Source organism: Homo sapiens, chromosome X (assembly GCF_000001405.40).
Source record: "Homo sapiens chromosome X, GRCh38.p14 Primary Assembly".
NCBI classification, from domain to species: Eukaryota; Metazoa; Chordata; class Mammalia; order Primates; family Hominidae; genus Homo; species Homo sapiens.
The window spans coordinates 38998623-39022813 of record NC_000023.11 but is presented as its reverse complement, the minus strand read 5'-3'; the positions used below and the strand labels follow the sequence as shown (position 1 = coordinate 39022813).

The window sequence follows — 24191 nt, the reverse complement described above, 5'->3', positions numbered from 1 at the left end:
AGGAATCACTCTCTGCAGTGTTAAGGCTTATTATTATTTTTAAGTATGAAAATGAAAATTTATTTAGCACGAGAAGGAATTGCAATAAATAATAAATTTTAAAAGGTTGAAAATACCATAATCATCACAAAATTTTTTTAAATCCAATATTTATATTAATTAACTTCCTGACACACTTCTATAATACATTCTCCCTACAGTTTTTAATTGCTTTCTCTTTAATTGCCTCCCTTATGAGAATTGTTTTGTTATATTTTCTATGGTGAGAAATGAAAAGCAATTATATTAAAGCTTATTATTTGGCCACAATAATCAGGAGTGTGGACTTGGTGGAAAAATAGACATATAAATTAATGGAACAGAATAGAGAACCCAGAAATAGCCCCACATGAATATGCCCAACTAAATTTTTACTAAGATGTAAAAGTAATCCAATGGAGAAATATCAGCCTTTCAATGAATAATGCCAGAGCAATTGGACACACATGAGTAACAACCACAAAAAAAAATAATAACCTTGACCTAAACCTCACAGCTTACGGAAAAATTAACTCAAAATGAATCATGGAGTTAAATGTGAAACAAAAAACTATGAAACATTTAGAAAAAGAAAAGAGAAAAATCTCCGAGAACTAGAGAGAGGCAATGAATTCTTAAAAATAACAGAAAAAGCACACTCAATAAAATTTTAAAAATTAGTAAATTGGACCTCATCAATATGAGCAACTTTTGCTCTGTGAAGTACGCCATAAGAGGATGAAAAGACAAGCTACAGAGTGAAAGGAAATATTTGCAGACCACATATTTCACACAAAGGACTAGTATTTAGAATATATAAAGAACTCTCAGAACTCAATAGTCAAAAATGAACAGTCCAATTAGATAATTTGCAAAGTATAAAAAAAGGAAAGACATTTCATCAAAGAGGATAAACAGGCGACAAGCATGTGAAAAGATGTTCAGTTTCATTAGCTATTAGAGAAACGCAAACTAAAGCCATAATGAGATATCACTACACATCTATCAGAATGGCTAAAATAAAGAATACTGACAACATCAAATGCTGGTGAAGATGTGGGGAATCTGGATCATTTGTACATCACTGGAGAGAATATAAAATGGTACAGTCACTCTGGAAAACAATTTAGCATTTTAAAGATAAAACTAAACATGTAACTACCCTGAGATCCAGCAATCACTTATTGGATAGAATGCCAAGTTTCTAAATAAATGGAAACTTTTGTGCACATAAAAACCTATACATGAATATTCATAGTATCTTTATACACAAGAGCCAAAATCTGTAAACAACCTTGGTATCCTTCAACAGGTGAATGGTTAGACAACCTGTGGCACATTCATATCATAGAATATTACTTAACAATAAAAGGGAATTAACTATTGATACACACAACACATTGAATGAAATTTGACAGAATTATGCTGAGTGAAAAAACAACTGCCAAAGATTCCATATGTGTGACTCCATTTATATAACATTTTGAATTGAGGAAATCTTTTAAATAAATGGAGGACAGGTTAGAGGTTGTCAGGGGTCATTGACAAGGTGAGTTAGAGCAGCGGCGAGGTAGAGATTATAACAGAGAGGTTCTTGTGGTGATGGAATTATTTTGTATCTTGACTGTGAATACAGGTAGTGGTCATAGGAACCTACACATGTGATAAAACTGTATAGAACTAAATACACACACATATACACACAAATGAGTACAAGTAAAATTGGGAAAATATAAAGATTCGTGGATTATATCATGCCAATATTCTGGTTGTGACATTGTATTATAGTTTTGAAGACGTTACCATTGGAGGTAACTGCATGAAGGGTACAGGCGATCTCTCTATAACAGTTCGTACAACAGCATGTGAATCTACAGTTCTCTTAAAATAAAAATCAACAAGCCTACAAAGCAGAGCTTTCTCCCACCTTTCCTCCTCCAACCCCCCAGCTAATTGTTAAATATTTACCAGCATGTAGAACCACTTATTTTTGGAGAAAGGATTTTGTGTTAGTGAAGCTCATTGCAGTTTTTTTTTCCCCCGAGTGCCTGACGGATAAAAACAGGTGGCTGGAGGCAATAGAAGAGGCTGTGGCCTTGGGAGAGTATTTCTACTTCCATTGGCCTCAGTTTTCCTTATCAGTAAAACAGAAATTAGTACTAGAGGGAAGTAAAGTGAACACTTACAGCAAACCTGTTTTTGACTCCTTCCCTTACCCTCTCAGAAAAGCCCATTGAACTATGCATTTGGAGTCTCCATGTTACATACAAGGAAACAGAGGCTGAGAGGCATGCTTACCGCAGAACAAAGCCAGAACTGGAGTCCAAAGTCCCGGTACACTTTATTGCTTGCTACCTGGAAGCCAGTCTAACTCCCTGACCCTAAATCCTACAAGATGGCCTCTCCTGATGGAAGTTGAGTTGGGTATGGAATGGCTGACCCTCTGAGTGGAGAGGGCTAGAAAAAATCCAGCTCATCCCCAGCCAGCAAATATGATTGCACCAGAAGCCACAGACCTCATGAGGCTGGCCTCCCTCCGTTTACACCACAGAGCTACCAGGCAGGGACAGCTGCTAACTTCCCCCTGTTTGTGTGTCTGTTCTCTGCTGTTCCCTGCAGCAAAAACCCAAGACAACTCTAAAGGTCGAGAGCACTCACCTTAGGGGGCAAGTAGGGATTTGGGTTCAGCAGCTGTGAGCTACGGAAACATGGGTATCAACTCTGAATGAAAAGGTTACAACGTTGGCACAGGGGGCATGCCTGGCCCATGAGGAAGGAAAGAAAGATTGCCTTGGGTTGGAGACCACATTGTCCAACAGAAACTGCCTTCCAGCACTCAGAAGTCTCCTTGGTGCTTTCCTCACAAACTATCAATCTGCTGCCCATGATGTTTGAAAGCAAAGCAGTTCAGTGTTTAAAGACCTAAGCTGGGGTTTGGGAGACATGGGCTTCATCCAGTCCTGTGACTTCCTTTAAGACTTTGGACAGGCCATGCTCCCGTTCTGGGATTCAGTATCCTCCCCCATAAAATAAGGGAGTTGAATTGGGGTCCCTGAGCCCTCTCCCAGCCCCACTAGCCCTCATGGTCAAGGTTAGCTCTAAGACCTGCATGTGGGGCCTGCCTGAATCCACCACAGCTCACAGACATTATTAGAACAGAAGTCCTAGTCGGATTTCATTTTTCTTCCAAGGCTGTTTATTGCCTAACAAAATGTACTTAGTGGTAAATTCGTGACTGTGATGTTAAACGTAGGCTACAAAACCAGAGACAAAAAATATAGTTAGGGGAGGGGTGTGCAGCACAAAGCCAGAAGAGGGAGAGTTATGCAGAGGGTGGGGAAGCCTCGAATTCACAGGAGCATCTCATAAACACAGGCACCGTTGCTTATTTATGCACATCCTATGCCCTGTCTGAGTTCCGCGTGGTCTCCACTTCTTGTTAGCTTTTCAGCTGCACACCAGGCCCCAGCTGGTAGTGGCTAATTGCAATCAGCAGGTGAGAAATGTAGGTTCTCCGAAAAGGAATTATCTCCAGCACTGGGAACCATTCTGGGAAATGTAACAGACCTGGGAAGAGAGGGGGAGATGTTTAAAACCTGAACTTCTGTGAAAAGCATTAATTGAAAAAGACAGCACCGCGCACCAGGAACCCATGACTTGCTCGCCTGAAAATATAATGAAGCGACTTAGCGTGGAAGGAAAGATGGGGGAGCATTTCCATTTCTGCACAAACAGCTCCTGCCTTGTGCACACAAGCCCTGCCTGCCCTCTTTTTCCAAGAGCCCCAGGGAGCACAAAGGTTTGTTCTTGTAATTTCATGGTTACCTTTACATTTTTTTCTGCGCGAGTAAAATGACTTCACCAAACTAAGGACTTTTTATTTATTTTTTAAAGACAGACTGCATGCAATCTACTGTGTAGCTGAATGACTTGAGGAAGTAAGTTCGAAGTGGGTTCACAGTGTCTCGAGGTCACTGAATACCAGGTGTTCATTCAGCCTAGTGCCAAGTAAGAGAGTGGGACATGGGTGTAGCCATATACCCTAAAATGTTCAGCTACTTGAGGAAGTGAGCCCCGAGTCAGGGAGCAAAGTCCTGGCTGGAGGCTCATCTGTGTCCCCAGCCCTAGGCTGCTCTCTGTGGCTCCTGTCAGAAGCACCTAGGGACAGGAGAAGGACCTGGGTGGCCTTCATAGGTTTTACTGCCTGGCCCTATAAAAACCCACCTGCTCACCCACAAAATTGGCTTCTCTCTGTGTGTTATCAGGAAAGGGAGTGAAAACCATACCAGAGGGGTGATTTGAATTTCATTTTCTCAATATGTCCCCCATGGGGAACGCTGTGTGGTGTGCATGCTGATTCAAAGAAAATTGTCTCTGCTCACAGGGGTTTAAGGCCAGTCATGGGCAGCTCACATTGCATAGGGCTGTGGGGCGCCCTGAAAACCACCTGGGGGGGGCACACAACCAGGGGACTGGCCCAGCCACCTTTATGGAGAGGCTGCCCCTCTCCATTTGGGCAGGCCCCAGAAGCCCTGAGGACTGCTGTATCATCATCTATAAAATGAGCGAATTGAATGCCACGACCCTTCACCTCACTTCGCCTCTTGGATTCCATAAAAGGCAAGTGATAAGATGTGGCTTCAAATACAAAAGATTCGCTCCCCAAAATAAATGTTGCCTGGGGTTTGGGGGAGGGTGGGTGGCTTTGTTGTTTCTTCCTTTTGGTTGTTTGTAGGACAAAGGGGAGGGGGAGGTTAGGCTCCGGAGCCGATCTCAGAAAGAACCACAGTCCCTGGTGGGAGGTCAGACTAAGGACAGATACTCTGATGAGGCCAGGGAATCTTTGTCCACCTGCAGTACTCCCCCTCCTTCAACTCCCCAGCCACCTCACGGGCCAAAGGAATGTCAGAGGAGAGATTAAAGTCTCAAGGGGAGGAGATAAAGAGGCCTCGAGACCTTCAGCCTTGGAGCCAAACCCCAGGCTTTGTGATCAAAAGACAAATAAACAGCAATTCCCACCGGGTCTCTCAAATCTGCTGAGCGGCACAAATGTTTCCTCTTTATAAACAAGCTTACCTGGAGAAGGCAAAGAAAACCAGACCCTGAAATCCCACACCGTTTTTGGCAGACCCCTTAGGAGAAACTGCTGCAGACAGCTTATCAAGTGCCTTTCTTATATCGCTTCGAAATAAGATGTCCAAATTTGATCATAAACTGCAAACAAATGGAATCAGCCCACTCTTCATACGAGCTTCCTCATCCTGACACAGGGAAGGTTTCAAGTATGAGAAGGTTTACAATTAGAAGCCGCCAGAAGGATTTCAGAGGCCACTGGATCAGGAAGATGAGCAGAGAGAGTAGATCGCCTGTGGCCTCTTTTCAACAAATATTAGGCTCTGTACTGCCAACTTGAACAATTCTAGGGGGCACTATTCACATTGAAGTCTATAAAGCTGTGTTCCAGGGGGCGTCATTCAACAGGGAATGCAGTGCCAATGGTGTCCTGTGGAGTGAAGAAAGGCAAAGGCCACAATGAGTGCCCGCTAGGTGCCACCACTTGGATACACCAGAGTACATATAAAGCAAATCTCTGCCCCAGTGACACTTACCCTCTCATTAGTAAGTTATGTAGGAAGGTAGACGGCAATGCCCACTATAGTAAAACTACATTAGCATGGAGAGTGGGGAGGGTTGCAATTTGTAGTAGGGTGGTCAGGCAAAAGTTCCTGAAGGTGAAGTTACTTTAGAGCAAAGATGTGAAGAAATGAGAGAATGAAGCCTGCCAGAAGGCTCTCTAGGGTAAGAGGGACCCAGGTAGAGAGGACAGTGAGCACAAATGTCTTAAGGCAAGAGCATGCCTGGTAGAGCCAAAGTGTACCATGGGAGCCAGTGGAGCTGAAGTGGAGAGGCTGTGTGTCTCTGCAGGTCCTAAGTGTGGTAGAGAATCACAGAACATTATAGCTGGTGCCCTCACTGCTCCATCAGCCTGCTCTGCCAGGCGGGGATCTCAGTAGCCACCTCGCAGGGTTCATAGGACTCCTTAGTTCTCCATTAACTAACACCTAGTCTCAGATACAGTCTCGTTTAATTAATAACCAACTAGGAGTAATGCCCCACCCCTCTGAGTCCTTAGCTCACCTGCATTTCAATGAGGGTGGCTGTAAAGACAAATCAGTCTTCAGACCTCAAGCAGCAATCTTGGAATGCTGTGAGAGGACTGAGAGATGCTGAATTCTCCCTGCTTTGAAGTGCTGGGTACCTAAGACCATGGGGTCTCCCACACAATCCCCTGCCACCATCTTCTGAGCAGGGCTCCTCATAGTGCATCTTGGAGATGGAGACACGCAGAAAGAGAGAGGGTGACTTAAGGTGTCCCTCACCAACTCCCTCAGGCTTACTGCAGAGACAACACCCTCTTTCTTCTCCAATCTCACCATACACAGAGTGATTGAATGAAAGTTTGCCTGACCCTCCCCCACCACCTTTTCCCACAAGAAAGTGGAGTAACCAATGGAGAAAATGAACTGCATCTTGGACTCATCTGATTTTGCTCAGAATCTCTGGCTCAAGCATCTAGGATTGATTCGATCTCTGTCATACTTACGTACCCAAATGCCCTGACACAAAGAGTAATGCAAGCAGTGTCTACCCTGCGCAATGTGAGACGGGGCTTGAGGGGGTGACCCAGGCATTTTGATGACAAGTTTGTGGCTGAGCACCCAGAAGATTTCTTTGGCCAGAACCTCCTCATTTGCTTTCCAGCATTTATCAACACCAGCAATGTGCCGTGCAGACAGAGCCTCTAAGCAGAGGTGACACTGGAAGCAGGAAGCCTGTTGTCCTGGAAGCCTGGGGCACCTGGGTTCCACTGCAAGGCTGTGTGATTGTATCAGTTAAGGTTCAGTCAGAGAAGCAGAAACCACCATGAGGCTCTAGAATGAGGGCCTTATGATAGGGACTGAACCTTCCACAGGTGTAGAATCTGATTAAGCAGTCTATGTAGGTCTGCTGCTCTGCATCTAGCTTTGATCCTGAACACAGTAGAGTTGGCTGTCAGGAAGGAGAGATGCACATGAAGTGGGGGAGAACATGGACAAACTAGAACCCACCCTGGACAGATGAAAACCCCATCAGTTTCTCACCATCTTCAACTTTACTGATGCAGGTGACCTGCAGGCTAGGCCGGTGCCCTTTACCAATATAGTTGCACACACGCCCAGCCTTGGGACCCCAGAAAGCCAAGGTAGGAGGCCTGGATGGGACTGAAGGGGTTGCAGGCCTGGCTGTCACCCACATCAGCAAGGTAAGCCTTCAGATCAGTGATGACACCTGTGAGCTGCAACAGTGCCCACTAGCCCTTCTCCTGACAGTCAGAGCATAGGCATGACTGCTGCTTCACTTCCACCCACAAATTGCACACAAATTTCTCTTCTGGCCAACTCCAACCGGAGATAAAAAAGAAAGGAATTCTGGGAAACACAGTTCCAGCTTAGCTACTACAGTACAAAGCCACCACAGTGACTTTGACATCAAACCTCAGTTTCCTTGCCTGTGACATCTAGGGGTTGGCCTAAAGAAAACTGTTTGGGGTATCCATCATACAGGGAGCAGCTTATTTTCTCACTCATCTGACAGCCAGCTAGGAAAGCATGCTGTACCAGGTCTACCTGCATTGTGTGCTGAGGTACCAAGACAGCCCCAATACTATTGCAGCTTTGGGAGTCTCCACTGGCTAGAATGACTCTAGCATCTTAGCCCTAATCCTAAGAGGAACTCCATGTTCTGAGCACATGCACCTTGTGCCATTTTTCCCCCTTATCCAGGCCAGGAGGAGAGAAGCATTATCATCTATCTTCCCAGGTGGCAAACCTCAGATCCAGCATGCTGCTGGACTGGCACCAGTCACCTGGTTAAGTGGTAGCTGCAGGTGGCAAAGATCCATGCTCCATCTTTAACATTCAGGCTGAGAAATTCCAGGAGGTTGCAGAAAGACCTTTAGGCTGCCCACAATTCAATTAACAATCTGAACCCAAACATTTCACTAGGAATTCACTTTCTATGTGATTCCAGAAAACTCTAATAAAACCTAAGGAGAATTTTTCTGAGCAAATAAATGTGAGCACTATGATCTGTGGAGAGCTTTCTGCAAAATATACCCTTTGCAGACTCTACTTTTAGGCACCTGGAGGGGAAAGAGAAGTAAAGACCATATACAATAAAGACAGATGTAAATTCAGAAAAGGAACTGGAAAAAAATTAAATTGCTTAAAAAGAAAATAAAAACTCTCATTTACAACCAAAGAAATGAAGCGTGAAAACAAAGTGTCTTTTAAAGACTACCTTGCCATGGGCCTCAGCTTCCTCGTGGTGGAAAAGGGGCTAGACTTGATGATCTCCTCCAAAATTCCATGAGCTTAGGAGAGCATCGACAAAATCTAAATCAAGCTAAAGGAACCCACATCAGCATAAGCAAAATGCAAAGAAAGGAAGGAAAGAAAATGCCAGAAGGAATGTCTTAATTGATAGCACTTCTTGGAAAGAACTTTCATTTATTGTGAGATGAGTTGAGGCAACACTAAAGGAGATTGTGATCTGGAAATTCCACCCTTTGAACTTTAGTCCTGCAAGATGTATGACTAGAGCAAAGGTATGGTTCAACTGGAGCAAGGTGGTTCAGTTCCAAGCCAGGAGTCCTCAAGGGGCAGAGCAGGGCCAGCAGGAAGGGCCAGCCTGGCTGTGAGGGTCTGGGATATGGAGCTCAGAGGATGAGTCATCAAAAGCTTAAAAGTGGGAGAGGGAACTAAATTTGAGTTTCCTTAGCATTCAAAGTATCAAAAATTAAAGTTTATAAACAAAATCCTAGCTTAGTGAATTGCAATATTCTTGCTGAATCCTCATGCTCTCAATGGTTCAACTTAAACACAGCTTGTGTTTTTGTTATTCTGCAGGCATAAAAGTTAGGCCCTGGCTCTCTGGAGGCAGGAATGCCCTATATTAGAATTTAGTCAGTAATATATTTTTCTAGTGCAGGGACTTGGCAAACTGTTTCTGTAAAGGGCCAGATACTAAATATATCAGGTTTTGCAGGCCCTACAGTCTCTGTTGCAACTACTCAACTCTGCCACTGTTGCATGAAAGCAGCCATAGTCAATACATAAATGAGGGTGACCAGGTTCCAATAAAACTTTATTTACCAAAACAGTCACAGGCTAGATTTGGCCTGTGGGCCATAGTTTGCTGACTACTGGTCTAGTACTTCCTGAAAGTTGAGTTTGCATATGCTCAAAATATAGGCAAACTGAGGGTTTAAATTATGCATTATGTACAATTTGTACATGCTCTAATGCAGGGAAGGAGGAAGAAAATAAAGAGAAACAGTGCACAAAAAAAGAGATTAAAGAAAGCTGATTTTGTTTCAAAAGCCAGAAGGAGAAGAATGCAGAATAGGACCAAGAAGGGTAAAAGGCAAAAGATGTTTTGTAAAGGTGATGCACACACACTTGGGTGAGCATGCAATAATGCAGAGAACACGGGACCAGAAATCAAGGAACCCAGACTCCAGGACATTCTCTGCCCTGCCCAGCACCATCACAACCTCTCTCTGACCTCAGCTTTCTCTTTTGCAAAATGCAGAGCTTGGACAAAAAGCTCTACTATTCTGTTACTCTGCCCAATCCCAGCCTCATAAAGTCCTCAAAATCCAGAGCCAAGCAGGAAACAAAGATTCAGGGCATTGCAGAGAGGCAGCCGTGGGAGTGAGCAGAGGTGGGGATTTCAGTCCCCCCTGTCAGTGTCTCTCCATAAGGAGAGATCCCTATCTTCTTCCTACAGCACATTATGCTGAAGACATAGCCAAGCTTGTGCTTAAATAAACAATTTAATCAGCAGCCCAAAGTTTCCTTTTATCACCCCATCTCCCGGCTAGACTGAATAATTATTTTCCATCTTCTAACTGCTGGACTGTTAAGCATGAGCCGAAGCAAACAGAACACCAGGCGTTGTTGAAAACCATCACAGCCCTAGTCTTTCAGGAATGCAATTCCCATGGTGACTGGGTTTTAAAAAGACCTTGCAACTAAACCTCATTCTTGGAATGATTGTGCTGTAGAGAAGGACTTTGCAGTGTGGGAGGAAGGGAAGGTTTTGCATCTAGCATGATTGCTATCAGTGCCCTGGTCATTAACAAAGAAAACGATATACTGGTGAGATGCCAAGCAATGCCATCACCAGTTGGAATAGGGAGAATATTTCTAGACTCCATCTGATGACCAACCCATTAGGACTCTCTGAGCCTTACTTCTCCACCTGTAAAATGGAGCAAGAAATGACTACCTTGTGTGATTACTGTGGAGAATAAATCAGATAGTGAGGAAGAGTGTATCACCTAGCTTATAGCACATAGTGGGTCCTCTCTAAGCAGGAGTTGCCTTGATATTATTCATGACTGATACAACTCAATTCTTACACAAGCAAGACCACTCTAATTGGGTGTGAGAATTGCAGGCCTTAGAAAAAGATGTTTTTCCTGCTCCTTATCAATCTTCCCATGGCATGTGCCTCCTACAAAGGCACTCCCCTGTAATAGGCTCGCGGCTGGTGTAGACACTATTTAAATTTGAGAAAAGGCATTATGGACCCCACCCATTGGCTGCTATCCCACCTGTGAAGCAGTGTTGACTTACGGAAGTAGATAGGAGCCAGGATAACTCGGACTATAAAGTTTCTGGGTATCACACATGCCACCCACTGAGTCACAGGTTTCTTTTGGCAGCTGCACAGTGGAAACACCCTTCCTGTCACTGAGGTCCTTCCCAAATCCACTCCCACTCCTGGCCTCCTTGCAGGCCGTTGTCCCTCTCACACAGCCCACCCATGTGGATGGCAGGGAGGGCAGCAAACTACCCCACAAGCAAGGCCTTTTCTGGTCCCGACCTCACTGGCTCTCCACCTACACAGTCCTTCTATAGGCTCATTGTGACTCATGGCAAGTCCTGCAGCTGCCTCCTGGCTGTTCTCTGTGACCTCAGCCCCAAACTCCTTCATTCCATCCTCCACACATGGCCAGCGAGCTTGTTCCAAAGACCCAGATCTGCTCCTGACCCCACCCTGCTTAAGAGCCACAGCATGTACAACAAAGTTTGAACTTCTCAGCAAGATCTAGAAAGCCTGTCCCAACCCGGCTGCAGCCTCCTCTTGGCAGCCTCACCTTCAGGCCTTTGCTCTTACAGTTCTCTCTGCTTTGCATGCCTCTCCCATCCGCTTGTCCAACTTTTGCTCAACCTTGAACTTTTGCCCATCCAACTCAAATGCCATCTCGTTTCTGACACTCCCACTGCAGGTGGCACCAATTGCTCTCCCTTTTATATTTGTGTAGTAACTTGTATCTATTCTAGTACTTTTCACATATATTATTGATACTTGTTGATGGTTTGTATTCCTGCTCAGATGTAATCCTAATGAGGAGATGAGCTGTATTTTATCTATCTTAGTATTTCCAGCATCCAACATTCTACCTGACATTCAATAATAGTTGCACAGTACACTTTGCTAAATGGAACAGAACGAATTGAGAGAACAAATTCTAAGGGTTTGGCAGAAGAGGAGTGGCTGATGCAGACAATACACAAGAAATCCAGAGGTGCCATCAAGGGAATCTACTAATATTTCTTTATTAATGGTTTTTAATTTTTCTTGGAACTGCCCTTTGGAGAATTATCCAACCTTTCCTGCTATCCCCACTTTCCCACCAAATTGATAACCATCTTTATTCTCAGAGCTGTCAATCATACTGTATCTATGATTTTGAACCATAATTATAATCCATCCCTTGCCTATTTTTACTTAGCATCCATGAAGCCCATGAGGCTATGATTTTTTAGCGCCTGCCTCATTGCCTTCTCTACCCTCCACCAAATGCAACAGTTTTATCAATAGTTTGCATATGTGAAGCCAAGAGACTTCCCATTTTGGTATAATAATCTTCTGGGGATCCACAATAACAACCTCCTGCATAATCCTTTTGCTGTTTTCCCACCCTGAGGCCCAAGAGTAAGTTCCACACCCCTTGACAGGGCTCATAAGGTCTTCCACACCCTATCCTTCTCCCCAGCTCTCTGGCTTCTGTTCTTGCCACTGTCACCTACTTCTGGTTGTGACCATCCTGAGCCTGTTCTCTGAGAAGGCCAGGCTCTGTTGTGCTGCTTTGCTTTCTGACATGCTGTTCCTGGAATGTTTTGCCCTCCTTCTCCATCTAGTGAATTTCTATTCATACTTCAAGGGCCAATTCAGCTGTTACCTCCTTGGAGACATCTTCCGTGCCAATACCACTTTCCTTCCTGCCTAGACAAACACTGTATGCTTCTATAATAGAATTCTTCCAACCTCAGTTGTTTCTTCTTTTTCCTTCTCTTTAAATTTTTATTTTCTTTTTGGATATCAGGTGCAGATTATTTGATTAGTTATAAGCATTGGCTAATGAAATATTCTCATCTTTGGTCTATGCACACCCCGTAAGTACTAGGAAAGCCACTACCCAAAAAAAAAGCTAGCACCTTGGAACCTTGCTAATAGCCTACACTTCATCACACCATCAATTTATACCCTTTTCTCCCCATTTGAGAAAATGTATCATCGTCTTGAATCATATATATATTCATCATTCCCTTTCCTTTTTATGTAGTTTTATTGCAACTAGATAGATTCCTTTAAAAATATAGAAATATTTTATTTTAGTAGTTTCCAATTTCAACAAAAAACCATACCGTATGTAATATTTTGGAGCCTTATTTTTTCAGATTTCATATTGCTGAAATTCATTCATATTTTTCCGTGTAACTGTTTTTCATTTATTTAGACTCCTGCGTATGTCCAGTGTGTGTAAATACCACAATTTTTCTTCCATTCACCCTTAGACAGGCATTTGTTTTAGGATAGGGTTGCCAGATTTAGCAAATAAAAATAAAGAACACTGAATTAAATTTGAACTTAAAACATGAAATTTTTGAACTATAGCTTATGCAATCTTTGGGACATACTTAGACCAGACAGAAAAAACAATCCTATTTGTTGTTTGTCTGAAATTCAATTTTAACTGGGATCCTGCGTTTTATCTGACAACCCTAGGTTGGGAACTGAGCTGCTATGAACATTCCTGTACGTGTCTCTTACTGAATATGCCAAGGTTACTCTTAGGGATAGACCTAGATGTGTGAATGCTCGACTTTAGGAGGTAATATCAACCTGCTTTCTTAAATGGCTATTCTTGAGAACTCTTGAAACCCATCTCCCATTTAGAAAATACAAGAAATGGCCAGTGTGGGAAGAGAGGCTTGTATGTGAGGAGATTGGAACTGAGTCATAGCTCTGCAGTGAATGCCCTCTTCTCTTCCTTTTAAAACAGAAGTTGGGGTGTTACTCTTTAACCCCAAGTCCAGTGAGGGACCTTCAAGGTGCTTTGCAATATATTCGCTATGGTCAGTAACCACAGGGGACCTCACGTACACCCACAAAAGCTAAAGCACACTGTGGGTTAGAGTTTGCCTCTTGCCTGGGGCCATCTAGGTGAGAGGGAAGGGCCATTACATGCTTTGGCAGCCAAGTCAATGGAGGCTGATGCTTTGGGGTGACCCTGGATTCCCAGAGTATGTTGGGACAAGAGATGTGAGAATATGGTTCATAGGTCAGAAGTGACTATAGCAGAGAGAGCGCTGATGTGAAGCAGACTTCAGTCCTGACCAGTAGTGGAAGGGGATCTCATCATAAAGAGACTGGAGGTGTTCTGCCAGATATCTAGCTGAAGAGTAGTCCCAAGCCACTACCTCTTATGGAGACATATCAGGCAGAGGTCAAGAGAACCATAGGAGAGAGGTCTACGGCCATGGGAACCTCTGAAAGGGCCAGTAGTGCACCTCAGGAGGGAAAAGGTGGCTTCATCCATCTTCCATGCCCACAACCAGGGCCCCAGCTTTAATCATCTGAAAATGAGGCCCCATAAGAGCAACGTCACTGCCGAGTCAGAGCTATCTGCTTCCTGGCCTCTCCTCCCTCTCCAAGCTTCATTAGTGGCGCAATAAAATGACAGCTAACAAATAGAGGAAGAGGTGAACAGGCAGAGAGGAGAAGTTCTGCTCTCCTCTACTCTACCTCCCCAATGCTGCCTTTCAGATTAAAATAGACCTGAACCAGGCAGAGAAGATTTAATGGCAAGCCAGGCTTGGAGTTGTGACTTATCACATCTTGAATGGAACATTCTAATTACTCAGTTGTGACTTTCTATTACCTAACAATGAGTAGAAATAAGACTTGCTCAGTTTGCATTCAGTTTTGGGGAAGATTACCCTCCCTGAAGACAGTCAAACCATCAAGTCTTGCTTTGTTCATGTCAGAGGCTATGCTTGTCTACATACTGGTTATGTAGGCATGTCCTGATTTATACTCATTCACCTCACACATACATTCAACCACATCCAACCACCCAACAAGTCAGAGGGTCCCCTCTCAGCCTCCTCTGCATGGGATTTCTTTCCCCTTTCTCTCCCTCTCCCCTTCTCTTTCTCTCTCCCTTTCTTTCCTCTTCCCTTTCTAATTCTCACTGTAGAGCCTACTCCATGTTTATACTCAGTCTCTGGGCCTTTCCCTTCCAAATTCTAGGGCCTTGGTTCTCACTTTATAAGGAAAACAGGTGATAAGAAGAATGGGAGGCTGGCCTGGCAGGTGACAGGTAGGATCAGAAAGGCACAGTAGAATGTGAGTCTCCTGATGACAAGTTGACAATCATGGATGAGAGTTTACAAGTGGCAAATAGATTGAGTGAAAGGCCACAGGGATCAGCATTCAGTCTTGTTCATTTCAATTTTTATCTCCAATGATGAAGCTATAAAGGATGTACCTAGTATGTGTGTGGATGGCAAAGCTAGGAGGAAGCCCTAATATAACAAGTGATAGAATCAGGACTCAAGATCTCAAATGAATGGAAGGAATTGTTGAAAGAAACAAGGTAAAATCCATAAAGATAAATGTAAACATCTGTGCTAGATTCACATAGTCAACAGCACTAGTTAAGGAGACTCAACTCCCTTTTAAAAAGCTCCAGGGGATTTCTTGGCTTGATATGAGTCAACAGCAAAACATGGCTGCCAACATAGATGTTCAGAACCAGGCTTGGCCAGATCATAGCAGAGAAACTAGGGGAGGGAGGACATTGTCAAACTGGAGCATGTCAGAGCCTAGTGACCAGGAGAGTAAGAGGTCAGGAAACTTCGATATACAAGAAATAAATGAATAAATGGGACACTTGTACCTGAAGAAAAGAAACAGAGAGTCACAAGAGTAGCTTTTAATGGGTTGAAGAACCATATTGTAAAAGAGAAGTTAATTCTGGAAGGCAAAACCACAGCAAAAATTACAAAGAGGTAACGTGTGGCTGAAAATACTAAAGAACTCTCTCTCAATCAGGGCATCACAACCATGGAACAAGCTGCTTCATGAGGCAGGAGCACTCCAGGTCACCTGAAGAAGTCCAAAGGAAGCTCCAAAATGATGTACAAGGGTTGTGGCTTCCAATGTCCCTTTTGCTCTTGACTTGCTATGATTCCACATTGGATTAAGTGGGAAGAGCCCGAACTTGGGAAGCAGGTGAATTACAGAATAAGGTCTTAGCATGTACATCTGTACATGTACATCTAAAACCAAGTAAATAGTGTGGCCTGATGAATGGCCTTGGGGGGCCTGAGAGAATGGAGGTGAGACAGGACAAAAATTAGTTAGGTGTTATTATGTTTGAAAGACAGATTTGGAACCTAACATTCAAAGGATAATCATAATCAGGTTCAGTATGAACAAACAGCATTCATCAAGCACTAATAATAAGCGGATCCCCAAGGTTCCTGTCTCTTGAAATTAAAAGCCAAATAACTCAAGTCCTGTAGGGTCAGAAGTGGATGAACTGAGAGTTAAGAAGGGGCTGTCAGGCTAGATCAGAAGCCAAATACTATCAGTTAGTTTTGTCCTGACAAATTTAAAATACATACTTAGGATCTGGTTTTAAACATGTACTTAACTTAAGGGAGATAGCATCTATGTGTGGTACCCCTTGGGTGCTTGTTAAAAATGCAGTCTCAGGCCCTTTCCCAGACCTACTGAGCCGGAATCTGCATTTTGCCCAGGTGGTTTGCAGATGTCTTCACATTTGAGAATCACTGTTGTACATTAGAGTTGAAAAAAAAGTGGCTTTTTTGCTGTCTTGTGCTATCAATGGCCATATATTGCAATTCAAATATGAGACACATGACCTGATAAGTATGAACATATTTATGGAGACAATAGTACAGGATCTTTGGCATGGAGACCGTCCCGCCTGCAAAATAGGCCAAAAGAGGTTCCTGTGGTTACAGAAAGACCAGCAGTTGCTACTCAAGTGATTCCATGCTGAATCAAGAAGTTGGGTCTAGTCTCAAGTAAAGAGAATGTGAATCTCAGAACCTGATGTCATCTGAGAGGATAGGTTAAGTGAGAACTAAACCATCACAGAACTAAACCACTGCTCCGGAATCCACAAATTCAATGTTAGGAGATAGAGCCCTTAGGGTGGTGAAAGTGAGCATATTGCCATTCCTACCCTTTAAGTGTTTTCTCATTATTTAAAATACATGACCCTGTGCTCTAACACTGGTGGCATTTGGTGGTATTTTGGAAGGGCTGGCATAAGAGACCTATCTAGCATAATGTAAAGTGTACCTGGCATGTGGCCTGGAATGGAGCTAGGACAAACAAAGAGAATTTTAGATTTTATAACAAAAATGCCTTGAAACCTTTTTTGCATTGCCCAAGTGTTACATTGTTTTTTGTAGTGTGAGAAACAACCTAAGAAACCAAGATAAATGCAAGCACATCAAGGCTTAAAATGAAGGATAGTCTGGCCTTAAGTGAATTAGAAAATCCATGATTTTAATTCACATCTCACCCACAAGAAGCAATGAAATGGCCTTTTGATTTGTCCCAGTTTTAAGACCAAACATCTTACCTAACAAGAATGCTCAAGACCATTACTCATCCAGTAATGTTCCACCACTGAAAATCCCAGGAAGCGCTTTCTTTAGATCAACGTTTAAAGAGTTCAGCCTCCCAACTCTCCATGGTTCGGCCCTGTAACCAGGTGCAACTAATTCAGCAGGCGAAGCCAAAGTTCACAAAGCACAAATCTTGAAAAGTCTCCAATAAAACCCAAGAAGGAATACTAGTTATCTCTGTAATTCTTACTTACATGATCTTTTTTCCTGCTCCATAAATCAGAAGGAAAATAATAAAGTCCTTTTTTTGCCATTGTAGCAGGACACATCATGTGCAAGCAGAGAGTGTGCTGGATCATCAAGCCCTCTGCTTTGTGGGGCCACTTAAGTGACTGGCAGCCCTCATAATCTGCAATAATGTGTGCCTGGAAACAAGGACAAGATTCAGGAGGAGTGGGTGGCTGAGGGGTACGCAGGAGACCTAGGAGCTACAGAGGGTTCAGATTTCCATTTCACATCCTTCTCCAAATGCCCTCCTGCACAGTGTCTCAGACAATCAGGAAATACTAACCAGCAGCTGTTAATCACCAGTCACACATTTTTCAATAAGAAAGTCATGTTTATTGGTAACTTTTTCCCTGGCTCCACCCAAAGAGGGAGGTTGCTCTCAAAACTCTGATATTCCAGGGGTCAGAAAAGAACCAGCTTACTCCAAGGCAAAGCACACCTCATACTTGCTTTATCCACCAGTTCAGCCAAATAAACCAGTAATTATTTAGCAGCAACTCTAGGTTGGTGCTGGGGAATGCCAAAACAAAATGTGCAAGATTCCCTCCTGCCTTCAGGGTCACTGTTTTGTTGGGTGGAGAGGGGGATAAGATAAACTAACATGAAAAACTATAAATAAAAAGCAGTAGATAATAAATGTCAAGAGAGTGGTAAAAAATAAAACTTATAGGGATTGCACTGAATTCAAGTGAATTGCATTAGGACAGGAATGGAGTTTGCAGTGGGAACAGTCAAAATGTCTATGAGCCTGAGTCATGAAGAGGGTGGGATTGAACCATGCATGGACAGCTTCACAGCATTCAGCAGCGGGCAGGAAAGATGGCAGGCAGTTCAGCTGGGCTGTTAAACTGGGAAGGAGTGGGTGCAACTGAGCCACAGTAGGGGACAATGGCTGCAGTAGAGGTTTCTACTCTATGCAGGACTCTCACTCTGGCCTGCTGCATGGCCTGGAACAAACCTTTGTAAAGTAAGGGCAGAGCCATTCTGAAGAATGGCAGGATTAATTAGGTGCCTAACCTTGATTGCAGGGAGTCAGGATATCTCTCCAACTCCACCTTCTGCCCTACTGGCTAGCCTCCCGATTGTTCTAAAACCTTAGGGATGTTCTCCTTCCCCAGGGAGACACAGAACCAATGACTGCAAAGTCAAGGGCATAATCACAAACAACAGAGCTATATGTCACGGGGTCACCTTGACAGAGAAGGAAACACACAAAGCAGTGCCATCACCACACCACAGTGCCTGGGGACCTGGGCAAGCTCTGACTTTCACATAGCTGGTCCTTGCTTAGCATTGTTCTCATTCCTCTCAGGGACATTTCAGGCCTATGTTGCTTTTCTCGGGCCTCCAGCCCAGCCTCCACAGCCTGGACTCGCTGAAGATGTCAGTGCCTCTACAAATTGATAAAACTTGAAGCCATGGAGATTTGCCCCCACCACCGCCCTTTCCCACCTACTGGCTTAACTGCATGGCACCCACCCCTCCTCAGTCCCACCTCTAATCTCAGAGAATGAGGGTAGCCTTCTTGTTCAAGGCCAGCTACTCCCTCACAGCTCTGTCACTCACCCCACTTCTTTTTTCTGACACTGCGTTCTTTCTATTCACTTTCTCCTCAGAGTATAGACATGATAAATATCCCTCTAATCCAGACACACACACATACACACACACACCGGTCCTCCCTTTAACTTCCTTTGACCACTGTCCGTCACTTCATCGCTCTCTTTCCCCTCCAGTCACAACCCTTCAGAAGGTAGTCTATGCTGCCTGTTTCTTCTTCCTCAATTCCATTCAGTCCTCAATACTGGCTCTTGGACCCCACTCTTGCTTCACTGAAACATGCTATCTTTAAGATCGTCAATGACCTCTTCATTTCCAAATCCAACAAAGCACTTTTTTGTCCTTATCTGCTGTATTTGACACTGTTGTCTTTTCACTGCTTCTTGAATCTCTCCATTCTCTTGGTTTCCATGTCCCCTGGTTTTCCTCCTGCCCCACTGTTCCATTACTGACCGCACTGGGAAATCAAGTACCCTCTCCTTCCAGAAGCTTCTATAACATCCTATCCTGAACTATGTAGCTCACGTCCGTTCCCTTAACTCTCTGGAACTTACTAAATTATATCAAAATTGTCTGTTTATGTGTTGGTTTCCTTTATTAAGCAAGGAACCCCTAGAGGAAAGTGACTGTTGATTAATCTTCATACCCCCGGTACTTATTACAAAGTATAGTGCCCACAGGCAGGCAATAAAATTTGTTCAACTGCCTTAGAACAAATGCCAAAGACAAACTAGACTGATTTTTAACATAAAAGTTATTCAAGATTTTATTTCTGAGAACACAAATTCTCTCTTGTTTACTCAAAGACCCATGATTTTCAAATTGACCTATGGTGAGGAAAGCTAGGGTTAGCTCCACATTCAGTTGGGCACCTTCAAACCCTATTCTCAAGGTCTTCCTCAGTCCACTTTTTTGTCTTTTGCTTCACCATGCAGCTGATGTTTTCTACTGTCCTGACCTTGTGTTTGTTTATGGTTGCCTAGGTTATCACTGAACGAAATGTGGCACTCAATCATTTATCCCTCACAATTCCTAGGCAGTTCTGTAGCTACCTTGAAACTCCTTGACTGGACAGTCTGTGTTTATAATTGGTTATCCTTTTACATATTTCTAGCAATAGTGGTCTTTATGTAAACCAATGTTACACATATTTCTTCTAGGCTTTTATAGTGTCTCCTTCAAAAAAACACTGGCATTCTGGAATCCTATGAGCCTGCAGTATGAACATTATTATAAGAGAGTTGGTATGTTATCAACACGTGGAATCTCTAATCCTACATGCCTCACATTGTTGTCATTACCTCAGCCCTTCAATCCTGTCCCAGCATTTATAATGGAACTTCTTCCCTTCCCTGGGTTGTCCTTATTTCTACTTAGTGACCCTGACTTGGGATGCTGATGCTAATCTGGAAGATTTCTTATGCATGGGTGTAGACCCTGGTAGCATTCTTAGGATGTGCTTCTTTTCTTCCCCCTCGTCTTGGCTACTTGTCCTGGCTCCTGCACCACTGGATCTGACCCAAGTTTACTGTTCCAGTCATTTATGAAAGAGCCATACACCAATGATCACAGATAGCTCCTTCATTCTTCCTTCATATGTCCACAAAGGCTTTCTCACAACTCTCCTTATCCCCTTAACTCTTGATATGGTTTGGCTGTGTCCCCACCCAAATCTCACCTTGAATTGTAATAACCCCCACATGTCAAGGGTGGGGCCAGGTGGAGATAATTGCATCACTGGGACAGTTTTCCCCATACCCTTCTCATGGTACTGAATAAGTCTCACAAGATCTTATGGTTTATAAAGGGGAGATTCCCTGCACACGTTCTCTTGCCTGCCGCCATGTAACATGTCTCTTTGCTCTTCCTTCATCTTCTGCCATGATTGTGAGGCCTCCCCAGCCATGTGGAACCATGAGTCCATTAAATATCTTTCCTTTATAAATTACCCAGTCTCAGGTATGTCTTTATTAGCAGCGTGAGAACTGATTAATAAAACTCTTATAAGAAACTGAGCTCCAGGAATAACCGCAGGCTTATGGCTTCCCTCAAGCAGCCATCTCTACCTAGCAGATCAGGATCATAAAGGATAGGTCATACTGAACTTATAAACACTCCATTGGCCCACTGGGTATTTGAGACAGTGCGCCATGGATTGATGTTAGGTTGCAGGGCATGATGGGATGCACCTGAATGGGATTTGGAAGACTTCATCACTTAACTCATAATGAGCCTCTGCACAAGCCATTCCATTCTTTTGGCCTAGATGATCTCTGAGGTTCCCTCAAGATCTGCTAGTTTGGGGTCCTGGTTCAAGAGGTTCCTCCAGGGCTTTGAGAACCACTTAACTATCCAAGAGAGGCCTTCAGTGCTCCAGGGACATCACTCACAATGACCTTCTAACGAGGGCTCACTCTGTCTCAGTTTTATTCAAACATCATAAAGTTAGTAGAGAGGGCAGCCAGCTGAGTGGTCAGCTGGGTCTCTGAGGCTCTTCAGACCTAACTAAAACAGAAATACTATATACACATGGTTTGGGCTCCCTGACGTTTGAATCCATAGGATTGTTGCCCCCTATCAGCTGGAACCAGGCCCCTTGGAGCATTTCTCTGGATATGGTTATCTAGAGATTTCTATTATCTTCTCTTCCTGTGTCTCACCAGCAGAGGACATGCTCAAGGCTTTTGGCTATTCTCACAAGTTCAAGATCACCTGTACATTCATTGTACAGAATAGAGTTTGGCAAAATGTTTTTTTTGTAAAGGGTTAAATCATAAATATTTTCAGCTTTGCAGACCATATAGCCTCTGTCAGAATCACTCAACATTGCCATTGTAGCATAAAAGCAAACAATGTATGACGAATAGGTATGGCTTTGTTCCAATAAAACTTTATTTACAAAAACAGGTCAGAGGACAGATTTTGCCCAAGGACTGTAGTTTGTTTATCCTCAGTCTAGCTCTAAGCACCACCAGCTGGAACTGGTTATCTGGTTCTTCATTAGGGACACCTGATTTATGGAACTGAGCTGGATCCTTTTGTGGGTGTCCTTTCTGTTTGTATAATCTTGCATGGCCAGATTATTAATGAAGTCATGTATGATAAGATTAGGACACAATCTGCCTGAAGACATTAAATGTTGACCTTAAGGTCAACTAGTACCATGGCCCCATATGTCAACTAATATTTTATTCTGTGTGTCAACAGATATACTGCTACTCTTAATCACCATTTACCAAGGTCATTCTCCCCTAAGGCAAAATTTTAGGGTACTGGGGCAATACAATGCTATCTAACCTGAGTACATTGTTGTTAGACTGAATTTCAGCAATGACCAATGTGGCTTCAGTTCCAGATGGTCACCATATGTCCTAGCACATGTGTGCTAATAGCTTTTGTTACAAGTAGATAAAGTTTCCATGCCCTCTCCCTTTCCCTGTTTCTATTCCTGGTCCCAGAGTAGTCCAGGCCCCAGCTTTCTGTGGTTTCTGCAACAAGTTGCTGAGATTAGTTTAGAGTAGAGGATATGGGTGACAGAACACATTTTTGAGCTACAGAAGCATAGGCCTAAGTTCCAGCTCGGCTCCCAGTTTCAGATTCTTTCTCTGCAATACAGGAATGATAATGCTAATACCTACCTCAAAGGACTATTGAGAGGATGATGTGGTATAAAAGGTGAGAAAGTACTTTGCAAAGAACATTTGGCCGTTGTTGTTACTTCCTCAGATGGTGACAGGCCTAGCCCCTCCCTGCTCCCAGTTGTCATTTTTCAGAGATTTTCCTAACTGTCACACAGTGCAGTTGGGAAAGAGGCCTCTCTAGCTGAAACATGACCAGTCTCTATCAAATGGCTGCTCAACACAAGTCCCCTTAAAATTATGGCAAAAATAGAACCTTACCTCTACCTGTAGCAACTTGATAAACTTATCTTTAAATGTCTTCCCAAACACTATGACATGTATTCTTTCTATAGTCCTTTAAGAAAAGCAGAAAAGGTACTAGCACATTCATTTTTCAGATAAGGAAACTGAGCAAAAGAACCACTAAAACAATACCCAGAAATCATGCAGCGGTTTACTGAAGAACCTGAAACTAAAATCCTGGTTTCCTGAACCTAAACTAGGCATTCCATAAAGCTACAAACCTTTCCTTTCACAAAAGGAAAGATCTGCTGGGATTTCTCCAGGTTCTATTTTTCATTACAATATATTTGAAACACAACTCAAAATACTATCCATCTGGCCCTTCCTGTGGCATTTATTACCTTGCTTTTTGCCAACATCTTACCCAGAAAATGCATTTAACCCAGAAGAGGCTGAAAAGGTTTGTGGAAGTAGGGAAGAGGGAAAGAGGAGCAATTGCCCTTACTACTAAAATACATACCAAAAAGAAAAACGTTTCTAACTTGGAGCTTATCTAGTCTTCTCAAGGCAGAAAAAAGTCAAAGCAAGATCTTGGTTCAGTTCTGTGTTTGCCCAAGCATTGATTTTTGTCTGAGAGTTCTGAAATTGTCTACTAGGTCACAGTAGATGCCTAAATGGTGTGTCTCCACCTCTCATAAGGCTTTATGATGACACAATGTCTTTCCGGTTCCCAAACTAACGTTGCACTAGCCTCATCTGGAAAAATAATATGTTCTGCCTACTGGCCAAACCAGGTGTGATGCCAAGGAGTAAAGAGCTTCCCAGGAGGACCCAGGTCAACACAGCACACAGCTGTTGTGTCTCATTGACTAGCACATGCTAAGTGTTGGGCACTTTGTGGCACATTTTAATATCTTAGAACTGAATCTCTTACTTAGACCAGTATTGCAGGAGGACATAGACCCCAGGAAATAATCTATTGTCCATTTATATATTAGTTCCTATTATCTTATTTTTTTGACTATTATTTATTCAATTTCTGAGTAGGCATAAATTAACATGGCTCAAATAAAAACCATTACAAGGCATATAAGTGAAGAGGCTCCTCCTCATCCCTTCCCCAGTCTCCCCTCACCATAGGCAACTACTGTTATTACTGTATTCCATCAAATCTAAGATGTCATCCATTTTAAGATGCATCATTATTTTATGTACCACTTAGAAAAAAAATAATATGGCTAATTGTAATTCTAAAATGCCACATAATGGAAGACATTTCAATTTCACAGATGTTAAAATGTGAAAAATGTATATCATAGAGTCATTCCCTAATTCTTTATGTATATACAAACAAATATGAGTGTACATGTCAGTTCTACATCCTAAAGATAGCAATGAGTACACAATAGTCTACTCATTACTTTTTTCACTTTAAAGTATATCCTGGAGATCTTAC

General features: G+C 43.0%; 1 long non-coding RNA gene across 1 annotated transcript in view; it reads right to left on the bottom strand.

Annotated features, from left to right (window-relative positions):
- Window positions 1-3191: 3191 nt before the first annotated feature.
- Window positions 3192-24191, bottom strand: part of LOC124905177 (uncharacterized) — a 148876-nt gene continuing 127876 nt past the window's right edge. Inside the window, exon 2 of the long non-coding RNA XR_007068213.1 lies at window positions 3192-3585. This is a non-coding gene — a long non-coding RNA (uncharacterized LOC124905177). The remainder of the gene's footprint in view (window positions 3586-24191) is intronic.